Source organism: Homo sapiens, chromosome 7 (genome assembly GCF_000001405.40).
Source record: "Homo sapiens chromosome 7, GRCh38.p14 Primary Assembly".
Taxonomy (NCBI): Eukaryota; Metazoa; Chordata; class Mammalia; order Primates; family Hominidae; genus Homo; species Homo sapiens.
In genome coordinates, this window is record NC_000007.14 from 130,564,657 (window position 1) to 130,581,946 (window position 17,290).

At 38.7% G+C, this 17,290-nt stretch overlaps 1 protein-coding gene across 2 annotated transcripts in view, besides 1 other annotated feature; it reads right to left on the minus strand.

Moving 5' to 3' along the window:
* COPG2 (coat protein complex I subunit gamma 2) overlaps positions 1 to 17,290 on the minus strand; it is a 162,511-nt gene that overhangs the window by 58,419 nt on the left and 86,802 nt on the right. The window lies entirely within an intron of this gene.
* Positions 12,935 to 13,521: an enhancer, noted in NCBI's record as "NANOG-H3K4me1 hESC enhancer chr7:130261863-130262448 (GRCh37/hg19 assembly coordinates)". NCBI's record gives its function as "activates a minimal SCP1, AML or CMV promoter by ChIP-STARR-seq in naive H9 embryonic stem cells {active_cell/tissue: H9 hESC(naive)}" and the evidence as "EXISTENCE:reporter gene assay evidence [ECO:0000049][PMID:30033119]".

Sequence of the window (17,290 nt, forward strand, 5' to 3'; positions counted from 1 at the left end):
GAAGTTTCTGGTGTTTTAACCTACTCATTCTCAATTTCCATGCACCTCTTCCCAGTTCCATAGCAGTCTTGGAAACCAGCAGCCTCAGAACCACAGTAACTGTGAATGCCAGCAGCCTAGCTACAAAAGCAGCTCTGGGCCAAAATCTCATCCCCAGAGAACTGTCACTATGTGACCTGTCTGGTGCTCCTAGAAAAGCCCTATTCACAGGCTAATCTTTACTTCACCTGACTCAAGAGCTCATTCAGCATGAAAAGCCCTATGCCCAGGGAGTTTGTCCAAAAAAATCAGTAGTATTTGGTTAATCTTGCAGCTGCCAGAAGCAGCAATTTTAGCAGGGGCAAACAAGAGGCTGGCCAAAAAACTTAAAAGGAAAATTTGAGAAATGAGATGTCCTTAGGGGGCTTTGAAAATTTCTAAAATATTTCTGGGGATACAGAAGGTCATGTGCATGTGCAGGGCTAAGCAAACAGCCACTAAAGACCTGACAGAGCTCCGCTCTCTAACCTTTGCTTGACTCTGAGGCTCTGCACAAAGCAGGAAGTGAAGGCTAAGGCAGAGCTGTGAACTCCCGGGGCATGGAAAGCACGCCCCAACATACACAGCACCCGTTGGAAAATGATGGGAGACATACTGGTTTAAAGCATTTAAGAAAATCTGTCAAATTATTATTTGTGACTCAGCTAATCAAACAAAGACTTCAGTGTCTATACAAGATACAGAATAAAGACTACAGAAATAGTCCAGGAAGGTCACAAACAACAACAAAAACAACAAACCCCAGGGATAGGGAAAGGGAAGGTCTGATTACCAGTGTTGTCACATTATAATATTTAAAATATAATGTTTCTGACAAAATAATTATGAGACACACAAAGAAATACTTAACTATGACCCATCTATGGGGGAAAAAAAGTAGTCAATAGAATTTATTCCTGAGGAAGCCCAGATGTTGAACTTACTGGCAAAAACTTTAAGTCAGCTAATATAAATATGTTCAAAGAACTAAAGGAAACTAAAATATTTAATTTAAAGGGAAGTACAACAAGATGTCTTATGAGACTACCAATAAAGTGACAGAAATGATTTTTTTTTTTAAGAAACCAAATAGAAATTCTAGATTTGCAAAGTGCAATGACTGGAATGAAAAATTCACCAGAAAAAGTTCAATAGCAGACTTGCACAGGCAGATGAAAGAATAAGAAAACTTGTAGATCTACTGAGATAAACCAGCTGATGAAAATAAAAAAAGAAGGAAGAAAAATGAACAGTGCTTTGGAGACCTGTGTAACATGACCAAGGGTACCAACATTTTGGATGATAGGAGTTTTCATAGGAAAAGAGAGACACAAAGGGGAAAAAGAACATAAGAAGAAACCATGGCTGAAAACCTCATAAGTTTGATTTAGAAAAAACATTAATTTATGTACCCAAGAGGCTCAAAAAGTCTCAAGCAGAATAAATACAAAAATATTCAAATATATACACATCAGAGTGAAACTGTTGAAAGCATAAAAATAGTCATTCTGACTGGTGTGAAATTGTATCTCATTGTGGTTTCGATTTGCATTTCTCTAATGATTAGTGATGTTGACCATTTTTTCATATGCTTGGTACCATCTTGTACCAGTCAGAATAGCTATTATTAAAAAGTCAAAAAGTAACAGATGCTGGTGAGGTTGCAGAGAAAAGGGAATGCTTACACACTGCTGTTGGGAATGCAAATTAGTTCAGCCACTGTGGAAAGCAGTTTGGAGATTTCTCAAAGACCTCAGAACTACCATTCAATCCAGCAATCCCATTACTAAATACGAACCCGAAGGAATATGAATTGTTCTTCTTAGGTTTTGATGAGAAGGCGAGGATTAAAGAAAGACTGAGAGAGAGTTGGCGGCTCTACAGCAATGCAGGTTTTATGTCCAGCATAAGACCTGCAGAGGCGGGGCACCAGCTTAATGCCAGGGCCCACCTCTGCTTACAGGCTGGGGCAATTTTAGGCCTGGGAGGGAGGGGTCTGAGGGTTATGGCTTGCTGCCCGGGAGGATGTTGATAAGATGTTCCCATGATGAGGTGGTTTGGCCCTTGTTCTGGCAGGATGTGACAGTGATGTTCCTTGGACTTTTTCCCAGCAGAATGTGATAAGAAAGTCAGGCAGTCGGGCAGGATGTTTCTCACGGCCCAGTCCCCCAAGGAATGTTTCACTTTGATCAAGGTCTATGAAATGACAAGGGGCTTACAAAATGGTACAGTTTGGACTAACAGTTCTACCATAAAGACACAGGCCCTCCTATGTTCACTGCACCACTACACACAATAGCAAAGACATGGAATCAACCTAGATACCCAACAACAGTGGACTGGATGAAGAAAACGTAGTACATATACACCATGGAATACTATGCAGCCATAAAAATGAATGAGATTATGTCCATTGCAGCAACATCGATAGAGCTGGAGGCCATTATCCTAAGCAAATTAACACAGGGACAGAAAACCAAATACTGCATGTTTTCACTTATAAGGGAAGCTAAACATTGAGTGCACATGGTCACAAAGAAGGGAACAATAGGCACTGGAGCCTACTTGAGGGTGTAGGGTGGGAGAGGATGAGGATAAAAAAACTACCAACTGGGTGGTACCAAGAAGTTTGAGATTATGCTAAATGACCAAACCTAAGAATAACTGGTGTTCCCAAGGAAGAAGATAAATCTAAAAGTTTGGAAAACTTATTTGAAGGAATAATCAAGGAAAACTTCCCCGGCCTTGCAAGAGACCTAGACATCCAAATACAAGAAGCTCAAAGAACAGCCAGAAAATTCATCACAAAAAGATCATCACCTATGCATTTAGTCATCAGATTATCTAAAGTCAAGATGAAGGAAAGAATCTTAAGAGCTGTGAGGCACAAGCATCAGGTAAGCTATAAAGGAAAACCTACCAGATTAACAGCAGATTTCTCAGCAGAAACCCTACAAACTAGAAGGGACTGGGGTCCTATCGATAGCCTCCTTAAAAAAAATAATTATCAGCCAAGAATTTTGTATCCAGTGAAACTAAGCTTCATAAATGAAGGAAAGATAAAGTTCTTTTCAGATAAACAGATGCTGAGAGAATTCGCCACCACCAAGCCAGCACTACAATAACTGTAGAAGGAGTCCTAAATCTTGAAACAAAACCTTGAAATACACCAAAATAGAACCTCCTTAAAGAAAAAAATCTCACAGGGCCTATAAAACAATAACACAATGAAAAATAAAAAACAAGGTATTCAGGCTACAACTAGCATGATGAATAGAATAGTACCTCACTCACATCTCAGTAATAACACTGAATGTAAGAGGGCTAGGTGCGGTGACTCACACCTGTAATCTCAGCACTTTGGGAGGCCGAGGCAGGCAGATCACGAGGTCAGGAGTTTGAGACCAGCCTGGCCAACATGGTGACCCTGTCTCTACTAAAAATACAAAAATTAGCTGGGCATGGTGGTGGATGCCTGTAGTCCCAGCTACTCGGGAGGCTGACACAGGAGAATCACTTGAACCTGGGAGACGGACGTTGCGGTGAGCCAAGATCGCGCCATTGCACTCCAGCCTGGGCAACAGGAGCGAAACTCTGTCTCAAAAAAAAGAATCCACCAACCAAGTCCGCTGTCTTAAAGAGACTCATCTAACACATAAGGACTCACATAAACTTAAGGTAAAGGGGCGGAAAAAGGTATTCCATGCAAATGGACACCAAAAGTGAGCAGGAGTAGCTATTATATCAGACAAAACGGACTTTAAAGCAACAATAGTTTAAAAAGCAAAGACGGACATTATATAATGATAAAAGCACTAGTCCAACAGGAAAATATCACAATCCTAAATATATATGCACCTAACACTGGAGCTCCCAAATTTATAAAACAATTACTACTAGACCTAAGAAATGAGATAGACGGCAACGCAATAATAGTGGTGTACTTCAATACTCCACTGACAGCACGAGACAGGTCATCAAGACAGAAAGTCAACAAAGAAACAACGGACTTAAACTATACCCTACAACACATGGACTTAACAGATATTTACAGAACGTTCTACCCAACAACTGCAGAATATACATTCTATTCATCAGCACATGGAACATTCTCCAAAATAAACCATATGACAGGCCACAAAACAAGTCTCAATAAATTTAAGAAAATTAAAATTATACCAAGTACACTCTCAGACCACAGTAGAATAAAACTGGAAATCAACTCCAAAAGGAACCTTGAAAACCAGGCAAATACATGGAAATTAAATAATCTGCTCCTGAATGATTGTCAGGTCATCAATGAAATCAAGATGGAAATTAAAAAATTCTTTGAACTGAACAATAATAGTATATACAGACCTCTGAGATACAGCAAAAAAGGTGCTAAGAGGAAAGTTCATACTACTAAATGCCTACACCAAAAAGTCTGAAAGAGCATAAATAGATGATCTAAGGTCAAACCTCCAGGAACTAGAGAAACAAGAACAAACCAAACCTAAACTCAGCAAGAGAAAAGAAATAACCAAGATCAGAGCACAATTAAATGAAACTGAAACAACAACAACAACAAAAAATACAAAAGATAAATGAAACAAAAAGCTAGTTCTTTGAAGATAAACAAAATTGACAGACCATTACCAAGACTAACCAAGAAGAGAGAAGATCCAAGTAAGCTCAATTAAAAAGGAATCGGGAGATATTAAAACCAAAATACTAGAGAAATACAAAAGATCATTCAAGGCCACTATGAACACCTTTATACACACAAACCAGAAAATCTAGAGGTGATGGATAAATTCCTGGAAATATACAAACCCTCCTAGATCAAACCAGGAGGAAATAGAAACTCTGAACAGACCAATAACAAGCAGCAAGATTGAAATGGTAATAAAAAGTTTCCAACAAAAAAAAGTCCAAGACCAGATAAACTCACAGCTGAATTATATCAGACATTCAAAGAATAATTGGTACTAATCTTATTGAAACTATTCCAAAAGATAGAGAAAGAGTGAATCCTCCTTAAATCATTATAAGAAGCCAGTATAACCCTAATACCAAAACCAGGAAACGACATAACAAAAAAAGAAAACTACAGACCAATATCCCTGATGAACACAGACACAGAAATCCTCAACAAAATATAACTAACCAAATTCAACAGCATATCAAAAAGATATCCACCATGACCAAGTGGGTTTCATACCAGTGATGCAGGGATGGTTTAACATACGCAAGTCAATAAATGTGATACACCACATAAACAGAATTAAAAACAAAAATCACTTCATCATTTCAATGGATGCCAAAAAAGCATTTGACAAAATCCAGCATCCCTTTATGATTAAAACCCTCAGCAAAATCGGCACAGAGGGGATGTGCCTTAAAGTAATAAAAGCCATCTAGGAGAAACCCACAGTTGGCATTATACTGAACAGGAAAAAGTTGAAAGCATTCCCCAAGAACTGGAACAAGACAAGGATGCCCACTTTCATCACTTCTATTCAACATAGTGCTGGAAGTCCTAGCCAGAGCAATCAAACAAGAGAAAGAAATAAAGGACATCCAAATTGGTAAAGAGGAAGTTAAACTGTTGCTGTTCACTGATGATATGACTGTCTACCTAGAAAACCCTAAAAACTCATCCAAAAAGCTCCTAGATCTGATAAATGAATTCAGTAGTTTCAGGTTACAAAATCAATGTACACAAATCAGTAGCACTGCTATACAGCAACAGTGAGCCAGCAGAGAATCAAATCAAGAACTCAACCCCTTTTACAATAGCTGCAATAAAATAAAATACTTAGGAATATATCTAACCAAGGAGGTGAAAGATTTCTACAAGGAAAACTGCAAAACACTGCTGAAAGAAATCATACACAAACAAATGGAAACACCTCCCATGCTCATGGATGAGTAGAATCAATATTGTGAAATGATCACACTGCCAAAAGCAATCTACAAATTCAACATAATTCCCATCAAAATACCACCATCATTCTTCACAGAACCACACACACACACAAATCTTAAAATTCATATGGAACCAAAAAAAGAGCCCACATAGCCAAAGCAAGACTAAGCAAAAAGAACAAATCTGGAGGCATCACATTACCTGACTTCAAACTATACTATAAGGCCACAGTCACCAAAACAGCATGGCACTGGTATAAAAATAGGCAAAGAGACCAATGTAACAGAATAGAGAACCCAGAAATAAACCCAACTACTTATAGCCAACTGATCTTGAACAAAGAAAGCAAAACATAAAGCGGGGAAAGGACATCCTATTCAACAAATGATGCTGGGCTAATTGGCTAGCCATGCGTAGGAGAATGAAACTGGATCCTCATCTCTCACCTTATATAAAAATCAACTCAAGATGGATCAAAGACTTAAATCTAAGACCTGAAACCATTAAAATCCTAGAACACTGGAAAAACCCTTCTACACATTTGCTTAGGCAAAGACTTCATGACCAAGAACCCAAAAGCAAATGCGAGAAAAGCAAAGATAAATAGATGGGACTTAATTAAACTAAAAAGCTTCTGTACAGCGAAAGAAATAATCAGCATAGTAAACAGACAACCCACAGAGTGGGAGAAAAGCTTTGCAAATGGTGCATCTGATAAAGGACTGATATCCAGAAACTACAAGGACCTCAAACAAATCAGCAAGAAAAAAACAAATAATCCCATCAAAAAGTGGGTTAAGGACATGAATAGACAATTCTCAAAAGAAGATATACAAATGGCCAACAAACATATGAAAAAAATGCTCAACATCACTAATGATCAGGGAAATGCAAAATTAAAACCACAATGTGGTACCACCTTACTCCTGCAAGAATGGCCATAATTAAAAAATAAAAAGATAGATGTTGGTGTGGATATGGTGAAAAGGGAACACTTCTACACTGATGGTGGGAATGTGAACTAGGACAACCACTATGGAAAACAGTGTGGAGATTACTTAAAGAACTAAAAAGTAGATCTACCATTATCCAGCAAACCCACTACTGGGTATCTACCCAGAGGAAAAGAAGTCATTATATGAAAAAGGCACTTGCACACTCATGTTTATAGCAGCACAATTCACAATTGCAGAAATATGGAACCAGCCCAAATGCCCATCAATCAATAAGTAAATAAAGAAAATGCGCCCTCTCTCTCTCTATATATATATATATACACAAACGCGCGCACACACACATATATACACCATGGAATACTACTCAGCCATTAAAAGGAATGAAATAATAGCATTTGCAGCAACCAGGGTGCAGTTGGAGACCATTATTCTAAGTGAAGTAACTCAGGAAAGGAAACCCAAACATCACATGTTCTCACTTAAAGGTGGGAGCTAAGCTATGAGGACGCAAAGGCATGAGAATGATACAATGGATTTTGGGGACTTGGGGGGAAGAGAGGGAGGGGAGTAAGGGATAAAAGACTACACATTGGGTATAGTGTACACTACTTGGGTGATGGGTACACCAAAATCTCAGAAATCACCTCTGAAGAACTTATCCATGTAACCAAACACCACCTGTTCCCCAAAAGCCTATTGAAATAAAATAAATAAAAATAAAAATAATAGTTGGAGATGTCTAGTCCCACCCAATAACTGATAGAACAACTAAGCAGAAAATCATCAAGGATACAGAAGACTTGAACAACATGATCAACCAACTCAAGCTAACTGATTATAGAAAACATTCAACCCAGTAACTGTAAAAATACAAATTCTTTCTCAGTGCTAATCATTTCCAAGAACGAATTAAATACCAAGTCACAAAACAAATCTCAATACATTTAAAATGACAGAAATCATACAAAGTATGTTGTTCAACCAGAACTGAATTAAATTATAAATCAACAACAGAAAAGAAACCAGGGAAATCCTTAAATATTTCAAAATTAAACACCACACTTCCAAGTAACTCAGGGATCAAGAAGAAATCAAATGGGAAATGAGAAAATATTTGAAGTTGAATGAAAATGAAAACACAACAAATCAAAATGTATAGGGCTCAACTAAAGCAATGCTTGGAGAAAAATTTATTTTAGAAACCTGTATCAAAAACAAAAAAGGGTCTCAAATCAATAACCTAGGCTTCCACATGAAGAAATTAGGAAGAGTAAGCCTGCAGCAAGCAGAAGAAAGGAAATAATAAATATTAGAGCACAGGTTAATTGACTAGAACACAGAAAAATAATAATAAAAAAAATCAGTGACACCCAAAGTTGGTTCTTTGAAAAGATCAACAAAATTCACAAACCTTCATCTAAACTAACCAAGAAAAAAAGAGGAAAGACACAAATTACCAAAACCAGGGATGAAAAAGGGAACACATCACTACTGACACTAAAGAAATGAAAATAATTATGAGGAACTATTATGAACAATTGTATGACAACAAATTAGATAACTTAGATGAAATGGAAAAATTCCTAGAAATACCAAACTACTAAAGATGACTCAAAAAGAAACAGAAAATCTAAATAATTTCTAATGAGTTAGTTATTAAAAATCACACCTCAAAAAAAAAAAACCACAGATCCAGATGGTCTCACCAGTTAATTCTATCAGATATTTAAAATAATAATAATACCAATTCTTCACAACTCTTTCAGAAAATAAATGAGAAAAGAACATTTACTAACCAACTAATTCTATGAAGCTAGTACTATTCAGATAAAAAAGCATGACAAATATTTCACAAGAAAATTACAGTACAATCTCCCTTCTACCAAAAACAAAAATTCTTAACAAATATCAGCAAACTGAATCCAGTAATATGTAAAAAGAATTATATACATAATTAAGTGGCATTAATCACAGGAACGTAAAAGTGGTTTAACACCAGAAAATCACATTATATATTACATTAATAATATAAAGGACAAAAACCACATAATCATCTTCACAGATGAATAAAAATCCATTGACAAAAATCTAACACACATTAATAATATAAAGAATAAAAACCACATAATTATCTTCATAGATGAACAAAAGTCAATTGACAAAATCTAACACCCATGCGTGATTTTTAAAAAACTTTTAATTTTAGGTTCAGGGGTACATGTGAAGGTTTGTTCATAGCTAATGGTACATGTTACATAGGTAAGTTCAACCACAATGGTTGAACTAATTTACACTCACACCAACAATGTATAAGTGTGTTGATAAAGACATAGAAAACTGAAATTCTCATACATAATAGAAATGGTATGGTTATTTTGGAAAATAGTTTGGCAATTTCTTTAAAAGTTAAACATAAACTCATCATATGACCCAGTTATTCTATTTATAGAAATCTTTGCAAGAAAATGGAAAAATATATGTACACACAAAGCTTTATATATGAATGTTCAGAGCCACATTATTCATAATAGATGAAAATGGGAAAGAAAAACAAGTGCCCATCAACTAATGAAAAAACCAAGTGCCCATCAATTAATGAACAAGTAAACAAAATTTGGTCTAGCCGTACCATGGAAGAGTATTCAGTCATAAAAAGGAATGAAGTACTGATGCATGCTACAACACAGTGAACCTCAAAAATATTATATTAAGTGAAAGAGCATAAAGTTAAAGAACTGAGGCCAGGTGCAGTGGCTCATGCCTGTAATCCCAGCACTTTGGATGGCTGAGGCAGGTGGATCACCTGAGATCAGGAGTTCACATCACAGGACTCTGCAGACAATCCCTGGTACCAGCTTGGAGCTGGGTAGACTTGCTGGGTGGCTAGACCCAGAAGAGAGACAACAATCACTGCAGTTTGGCTCATAGGAAGCCACGTCCATAGGAAAAGGGGGAGAGTACTACATCCAAGCAACACCCCATGAGACAAAAGAATCAGAACAACAGACTTCCGCCTAGACCTTCCCTCTGACAGAGCCTACCCAAATGAGAAGGAACCAGAAAACCAACTCTGGTAATATGACAAAACAAGGCTCTTTAACACCTCCCCCCCCAAAAAAATTACACTAGTTCACCAGCAATGGATCTAAGCCAAGAAGAAATCCTTGATTTACCTGTAAAAGAATTCAGGAGGTTAGGTATTAAGCTAATCAGAGAGGCACCAGAGAAAGGCAAAGCCCAATGCAAGGAAATCCAAAAAATGATACAAGAAGTGAAGGGAGAAATATTCAAGGAAATAGATTGCTTAAAGAAAAAAAACAATCAAAAATTCAGGAAGCACTGGACACACTCACAGAAATGCAAAATGCTCTGGAAAGTCTCAGCAATAGAATTGAACAAGTAGAAGAAAGAAATTCAGAGCTCAAAGACAAGGCCTTCAAATTAACCCAATCCAATAAAGACAGAAAAAGGAATAAGAAAATATGAACAAAGACTCCAAGAAGTCTGGGATTATGTTAAACGACCAAACCTAAGAATAATCGATGTTCCTAAGGAAGAAGAGAAATCTGAAAGTTTGGAAAATGTATTTGGGGGAATAACTAAGGAAAATTTCCCCGGCCTTGCAAGAGACCTAGACATCCAAATACAAGAAGCACAAAGAACACCTGGGAAATTCATTGCAAAAGGATCATCACTTAGGCACACTGTCATCAGGTTACCTAAAGTTAAGACAAAGGAAAGAATCTTAAGAGTTGTGAGACAGACGCACCAGATAACCTATCAAGGAAAACTTATCAGATTAACAGCAGATTTCTCAGCAGAAACCCTACAAGCTAGAAGGGATTGGGTCCTATCTTCAGTCTCCTCAAACAAGACAATTACCAGCCAAGAACTTGGTATCCAGCGAAACTAAGCATCATATATAAAGGAAAGATACAGTCTTTTTCAGACAAACAAATGCTGAGAGAATTTGCCACTACCAAGCCACCACCACAAGGACTACTAAAAGGAGCCCTATATCCTGAAACAAATCCTGGAAACACATCAAAACAGAACCTCTTTAAAAAGCATAAATCACAAAGGACCTATAAAACAAAAATATAAGTTAAAAGGCAAAAACAAAAAACAAAAAAACCAAAGTACACAGGCAACAAATAGCATGATGAATGCAACAGTACCTCACATCTCAATACTAACACTGAGTGTAAATAGCTTAAATGCTCCACTTAAAAGATACAGAACTGCAAAATGGATAACAACTCACCAACCATCTGCTGCCTTCAGGAGACTCACCTAACACATACTCTCATAAAGTACAGGGGTGCCTTTATGAAATACCTCATGCAAATGGACACCAAAAGCAAGGAGGGGTAGCTATTCTTATATCAGACAAAACAAACTTTAAAGCAACAGCAGTTAAAAGAGACAAAGGGGTACATTAGATAATGGTAAAAGCCCTTGTCCAACAGGAAAATATCACAATCCTAAACATATATCCACCCAAAACTTGAGCTCCCAAATTTATAAAACAAGTATTACTAGACCTAAGAAATGAGATAGATGGCAACACAATAATAGTGGGGGACTTCAATACTCCACTGACAGCACTAGACAGGTCATCAAGACAGAAAGTCAACAAAGAAATAATGGATTTAAACTATACCTTCGAACAAATGGACTTAACAAATATATAGAACATCTTATCCAACAACCACTGAATACACATTCTATTCAACAGTGTATGGAACTTTCTCCAAGACAGGCCATATGATAGGCCATAAAACGAGCCTCAATAAATTTAAGAAAATTGAAATTATATCAAGAACTCTCTGAGACCACAGTTAAATAAAACTGGAAATCAACTCCAAAAGGAACCTTCAAAACCGTGCAAATACATGGAAATTAAATAACCTGCTCCTGAGTAAGCATTGGGTCAACATGAAATCAAGATGGAAATCAAAGAATTCTTCGAACTGAACAATAATGACACAACCTATCAGAACCTCTGGAATACAGCAAAGGCAGTGCTAAGAGGAAAGTTCATAGCCCTCCATCAAAAGCTCAAAAGTTCAAAAGCTCAAAAAGTTCAAGTGCCTACATCAAAAAGACTGAAAGAGCACAAACTGACATTATAAGGATACACCTCAAGGAACTAGAAAAACAAGAACAAACCAAACCCAAACCTAAACCTAGCAGAAGAAAGGAAATAACTAAGATCAGAGCAAAACTAAATGAAATTGAAACAAACAAACAAACAAAAAAATACCAAAGGTAAATAAAACAAAAAGCTGGTTCTTCAAAAAGATAAATAAAATTGATAGACCATTAGCAAGATCAACCAAGAAGAGAGAAAATCCAAATAACTTCATTAAGAAACGAAACAGAAGATATTACAACTGACACCACTGAAATACAAATGATCATTCAAACCTACAATGAACATCTTTACACACATAAACTAGAAAACCTGGAAGAAATGAATAAACTGCTGGAAAAATACAACTCTCCTAGCTTAAATCAGGAAGAATTAGATCCCCTGAACAGACCAATAACAAGCAGCGAGATTGAAATGGTAATTTAAAAATTACCAACAAAAAAAAGTCCAGAATGATTGAGAAGGAGGAGCCAAGATGGCCGAATAGGAACAGCTCCCGTCTACAGCTCCCAGTGTGAGCGACGCAGAAGACCGGTGATTTCTGCATTTCCATCTGAGGTACTGGGTTCATCTCACTAGGGAGTGCCAGACAGTGGGCGCAGGTCAGTGGGTGCACGCACCGTGCGCAAGCCGAACCAGGGCGAGGCATTGCCTCACTTGGGAAGCGCAAGGGTCAGGGAGTTCCCTTTCCGAGTCAAAGAAAGGGGTGATGGACGCACCTGGAAAATCGGGTCACTCCCACCCGAATATTGAGCTTTTCCGACCGGCTTAAAAAACAGCCCAGGCCAGGCGCGGTGGCTCACGCCTGTAATCCCAGCACTTTGGGAGGCCGAGGCGGGTGGATCATGAGGTCAGGAGATCGAGACCATCCTGGCTAACAAGGTGAAACCCCGTCTCTACTAAAAATACAAAAAATTAGCCGGGCGCGGTGGCGGGCGCCTGTAGTCCCAGCTACTCGGGAGGCTGAGGCAGGAGAATGGCGTGAACCCGGGAAGCGGAGCTTGCAGTGAGCCGAGATTGCGCCACTGCAGTCCGCAGTCTGGCCTGGGCGACAGAGCGAGACTCCGTCTCAAAAAAAAAAAAAAAAAAAAACAAAAAAAAAAAACAGCCCACCACGAGATTACATCCCGCACCTGGCTCGGAGGGTCCTACGCCCACGGAATCTCGCTGATTGCTAGCACAGCAGTCTGAGATCAAACTGCAAGGCGGCAGCGAGGCTGGGGGAGGGGCGCCCGCCATTGCCCAGGCTTGCTTAGGTAAACAAAGCAGCAGGGAAGCTCCAACTGGGTGGAGCCCACCACAGCTCAAGGAGGCCTGCCTGCCTCTGTAGGCTCCACCTCTGGGGGCAGAGCACAGACGAACCAAAAGACAGCAGTAACCTCTGCAGACTTAAATGTCCCTGTCTGACAGCTTTGAAGAGAGCAGTGGTTCTCCCAGCACGCAGCTGGAGATCTGAGAACGGGCAGACTGCCTCCTCAAGTGGGTCCCTGACCCCTGACCCCCGAGCAGCCTAACTGGGAGGCACCCCCCAGCAGGGGCACACTGACACCTCACACAGCAGGGTATTCCAACAGACCTGCAGCTGAGGGTCCTGTCTGTTAGAAGGAAAACTAACAAACAGAAAGGACATCCACACCAAAAACCCATCTGTACATCACCATCATCAAAGACCAAAAGTAGATAAAACCACAAAGATGGGGAAAAAACAGAACAGAAAAACTGGAAACTCTAAAACGCAGAGCGCCTCTCCTCCTCCAAAGGAATGCAGTTCCTCACCAGCAACGGAACAAAGCTGGATGGAGAATGACTTTGACGAGCTGAGAGAAGAAGGCTTCAGACGATCAAATTACTCTGAGCTACGGGAGGACATTCAAACCAAAGGCAAAGAAGTTGAAAGCTTTGAAAAAAATTTAGAAGAATGTATAACTAGAATAACCAATACAGAGAAGTGCTTAAAGGAGGTGATGGAGCTGAAAACCAAGGCCCGAGAACTATATGAAGAATGCAGAAGCCTCAGGAGCCAATGCGATCAACTGGAAGAAAGGGTATCAGCAATGGAAGATTAAATGAATGAAATGAAGCGAGAAGGGAAGTTTAGAGAAAAAAGAATAAAAAGAAATGAGCAAAGCCTCCAAGAAATATGGGACTATGTGAAAAGACCAAATCTACATCTGATTGGTGTACCTGAAAGTGATGGGGAGAATGGAACCAAGTTGGAAAACACTCTGCAGGATATTATCCAGCAGAACTTCCCCAATCTAGCAAGGCAGGCCAACGTTCAGATTCAGGAAATACAGAGAACGCCACAAAGATACTCCTCGAGAAGAGCAACTCCAAGACACATAATTGTCAGATTCACCAAAGTTGAAATGAAGGAAAAAATGTTAAGGGCAGCCAGAGAGAAAGGTCGGGTTACCCTCAAAGGGAAGCCCATCAGACTAACAGCGGATCTCTCGGCAGAAACCCTACAAGCCAGAAGAGAGTGGGGGCCAATATTCAACATTCTTAAAGAAAAGAATTTTCAACCCAGAATTTCATATCCAGCCAAACTAAGCTTCATAAGTGAAGAAGAAATAAAATACTTTACAGACAAGCAAATGCTGAGAGATTTTGTCACCACCAGGCCTGCCCTAAAAGAGCTCCTGAAGGAAGCGCTAAACATGGAAAGGAACAACCGGTACCAGCCACTGCAAAATCATGCCAAAATGTAAAGACCATCGAGACTAGGAAGAAACTGCATCAACTAACAAGCAAAATCACCAGCTAACATCATAATGACAGGATCAAATTCACACATAACAATATTAACTTTAAATGTAAATGGACTAAATGCTCCAATTAAAAGACACAGACTGGCAAATTGGATAAAGAGTCACGACCCATCAGTGTGCTGTATTCAGGAAACCCATCTCATGTGCAGAGACACACACAGGCTCAAAATAAAAGGATGGAGGAAGATCTACCAAGCAAATGGAAAACAAAAAAAGGCAGGGGTTGCAATCCTAGTCTCTGATAAAACAGACTTTAAACCAACAAAGATCAAAAGAGACAAGGCCATTACATAATGGTAAAGGGATCAATTCAACAAGAAGAGCTAACTATCCTAAATATATATGCACCCAATACAGGAGCACCCAGATTCATAAAGCAAGTCCTGAGTAACCTAAAAAGAGACTTAGACTCCCATACATTAATAATGGGAGACTTTAACACCCCACTGTCAACATTAGACAGATCAACGAGACAGAAAGTCAACAAGGATACCCAGGAATTGAACTCAGCTCTGCACCAAGTGGACCTAATAGACATCTACAGAACTCTCCACCCCAAATCAACAGAATATACATTTTTTTCAGCACCACACCACACCTATTCCAAAATTGACCACATACTTGGAAGTAAAGCACTCCTCAGCAAATGTAAAAGAACAGAGATTATAACAAACTATCTCTCAGACCACAGTGCAATCAAACTAGAACTCAGGATTAAGAAACTCACTCAAAACCACTCAACTACATAGAAACTGAACAACCTGCTCCTGAATGACTACTGGATACATAACGAAATGAAGGCAGAAATAAAGATGTTCTTTGAAACCAACGAGAACAAAGACACAACATACCAGAATCTCTGGGACGCATTCAAAGCAGTGTGTAGAGGGAAATTTATAGCACTAAATGCCCACAAGAGAAAGCAGGAAAGATCCAAAATTGACACCCTAACATCACAATTAAAAGAACTAGAAAAGCAAGAGCAAACACATTCAAAAGCTAGCAGAAGGCAAGAAATAACTAAAATCAGAGCAGAACTGAAGGAAATAGAGACACAAAAAACCCTTGAAAAAATTAATGAATCCAGGAGCTGGTTTTTTGAAAGGATCAACAAAATTGATAGACCGCTAGCAAGACTAATAAAGAAAAAAAGAGAGAAGAATCAAATAGACACAATAAAAAATGATAAAGGGGATATCACCACCAATCCCACAGAAATACAAACTACCATCAGAGAATACTACAAACACCTCTACGCAAATAAACTAGAAAATCTAGAAGAAATGGATAAATTCCTCGACACATACACTCTCCCAAGACTAAACCAGGAAGAAGTTGCATCTCTGAATAGACCAATAACAGGAGCTGAAATTGTGGCAATAATCAATAGTTTACCAACCAAAAAGAGTCCAGGACCAGATGGATTCACAGCCGAATTCTACCAGAGGTACAAGGAGGAACTGGTACCATTCCTTCTGAAACTATTCCAATCAATAGAAAAAGAGGGAATCCTCCCTAACTCATTTTATGAGGCCAGCATCATCCTGATACCAAAGCCGGGCAGAGACACAACCAAAAAAGAGAATTTTAGACCAATATCCTTGATGAACATTGATGCAAAAATTCTCAATAAAATACTGGCAAAACGAATCCAGCAGCACATCAAAAAGCTTATCCACCATGATCAAGTGGGCTTCATCCCTGGGATGCAAGGCTGGTTCAATATACGCAAATCAATAAATGTAATCCAGCATATAAACAGAGCCAAAGACAAAAACCACATGATTATCTCAATAGATGCAGAAAAAGCCTTTGACAAAATTCAACAACCCTTCATGCTAAAAACTCTCAATAAATTAGGTATTGATGGGACGTATTTCAAAATAATAAGAGCTATCTATGACAAACCCACAGCCAATATCATACTGAATGGGCAAAAACTGGAAGCATTCTCTTTGAAAACTGGCACAAGACAGGGATGCCCTCTCTCACCACTCCTATTCAACATAGTGTTGGAAGTTCTGGCCAGGGCAATTGGGCAGGAGAAGGAAATAAAGGGTATTCAATTAGGAAAAGAGGAAGTCAAATTGTCCCTGTTTGCAGATGACATGATTGTATATCTAGAAAACCCCATTGTCTCAGCCCAAAATCTCCTTAAGCTGATAAGCAACTTCAGCAAAGTCTCAGGATACAAAATCAATGTACAAAAATCACAAGCATTCTTATACACCAACAACAGACAAACAGAGAGCCAAATCATGAGTGAACTCCCATTCACAACTGCTTCAAAGAGAATAAAATACCTAGGAATCCAACTTACAAGGGATGTGAAGGACCTCTTCAAGGAGAACTACAAACCACTGCTCAAGGAAATAAAAGAGGATACAAACAAATGGAAGAACATTCCATGCTCATGGGTAGGAAGAATCAATATCATGAAAATGGCCATACTGCCCAAGGTAATTTACAGATTCAATGC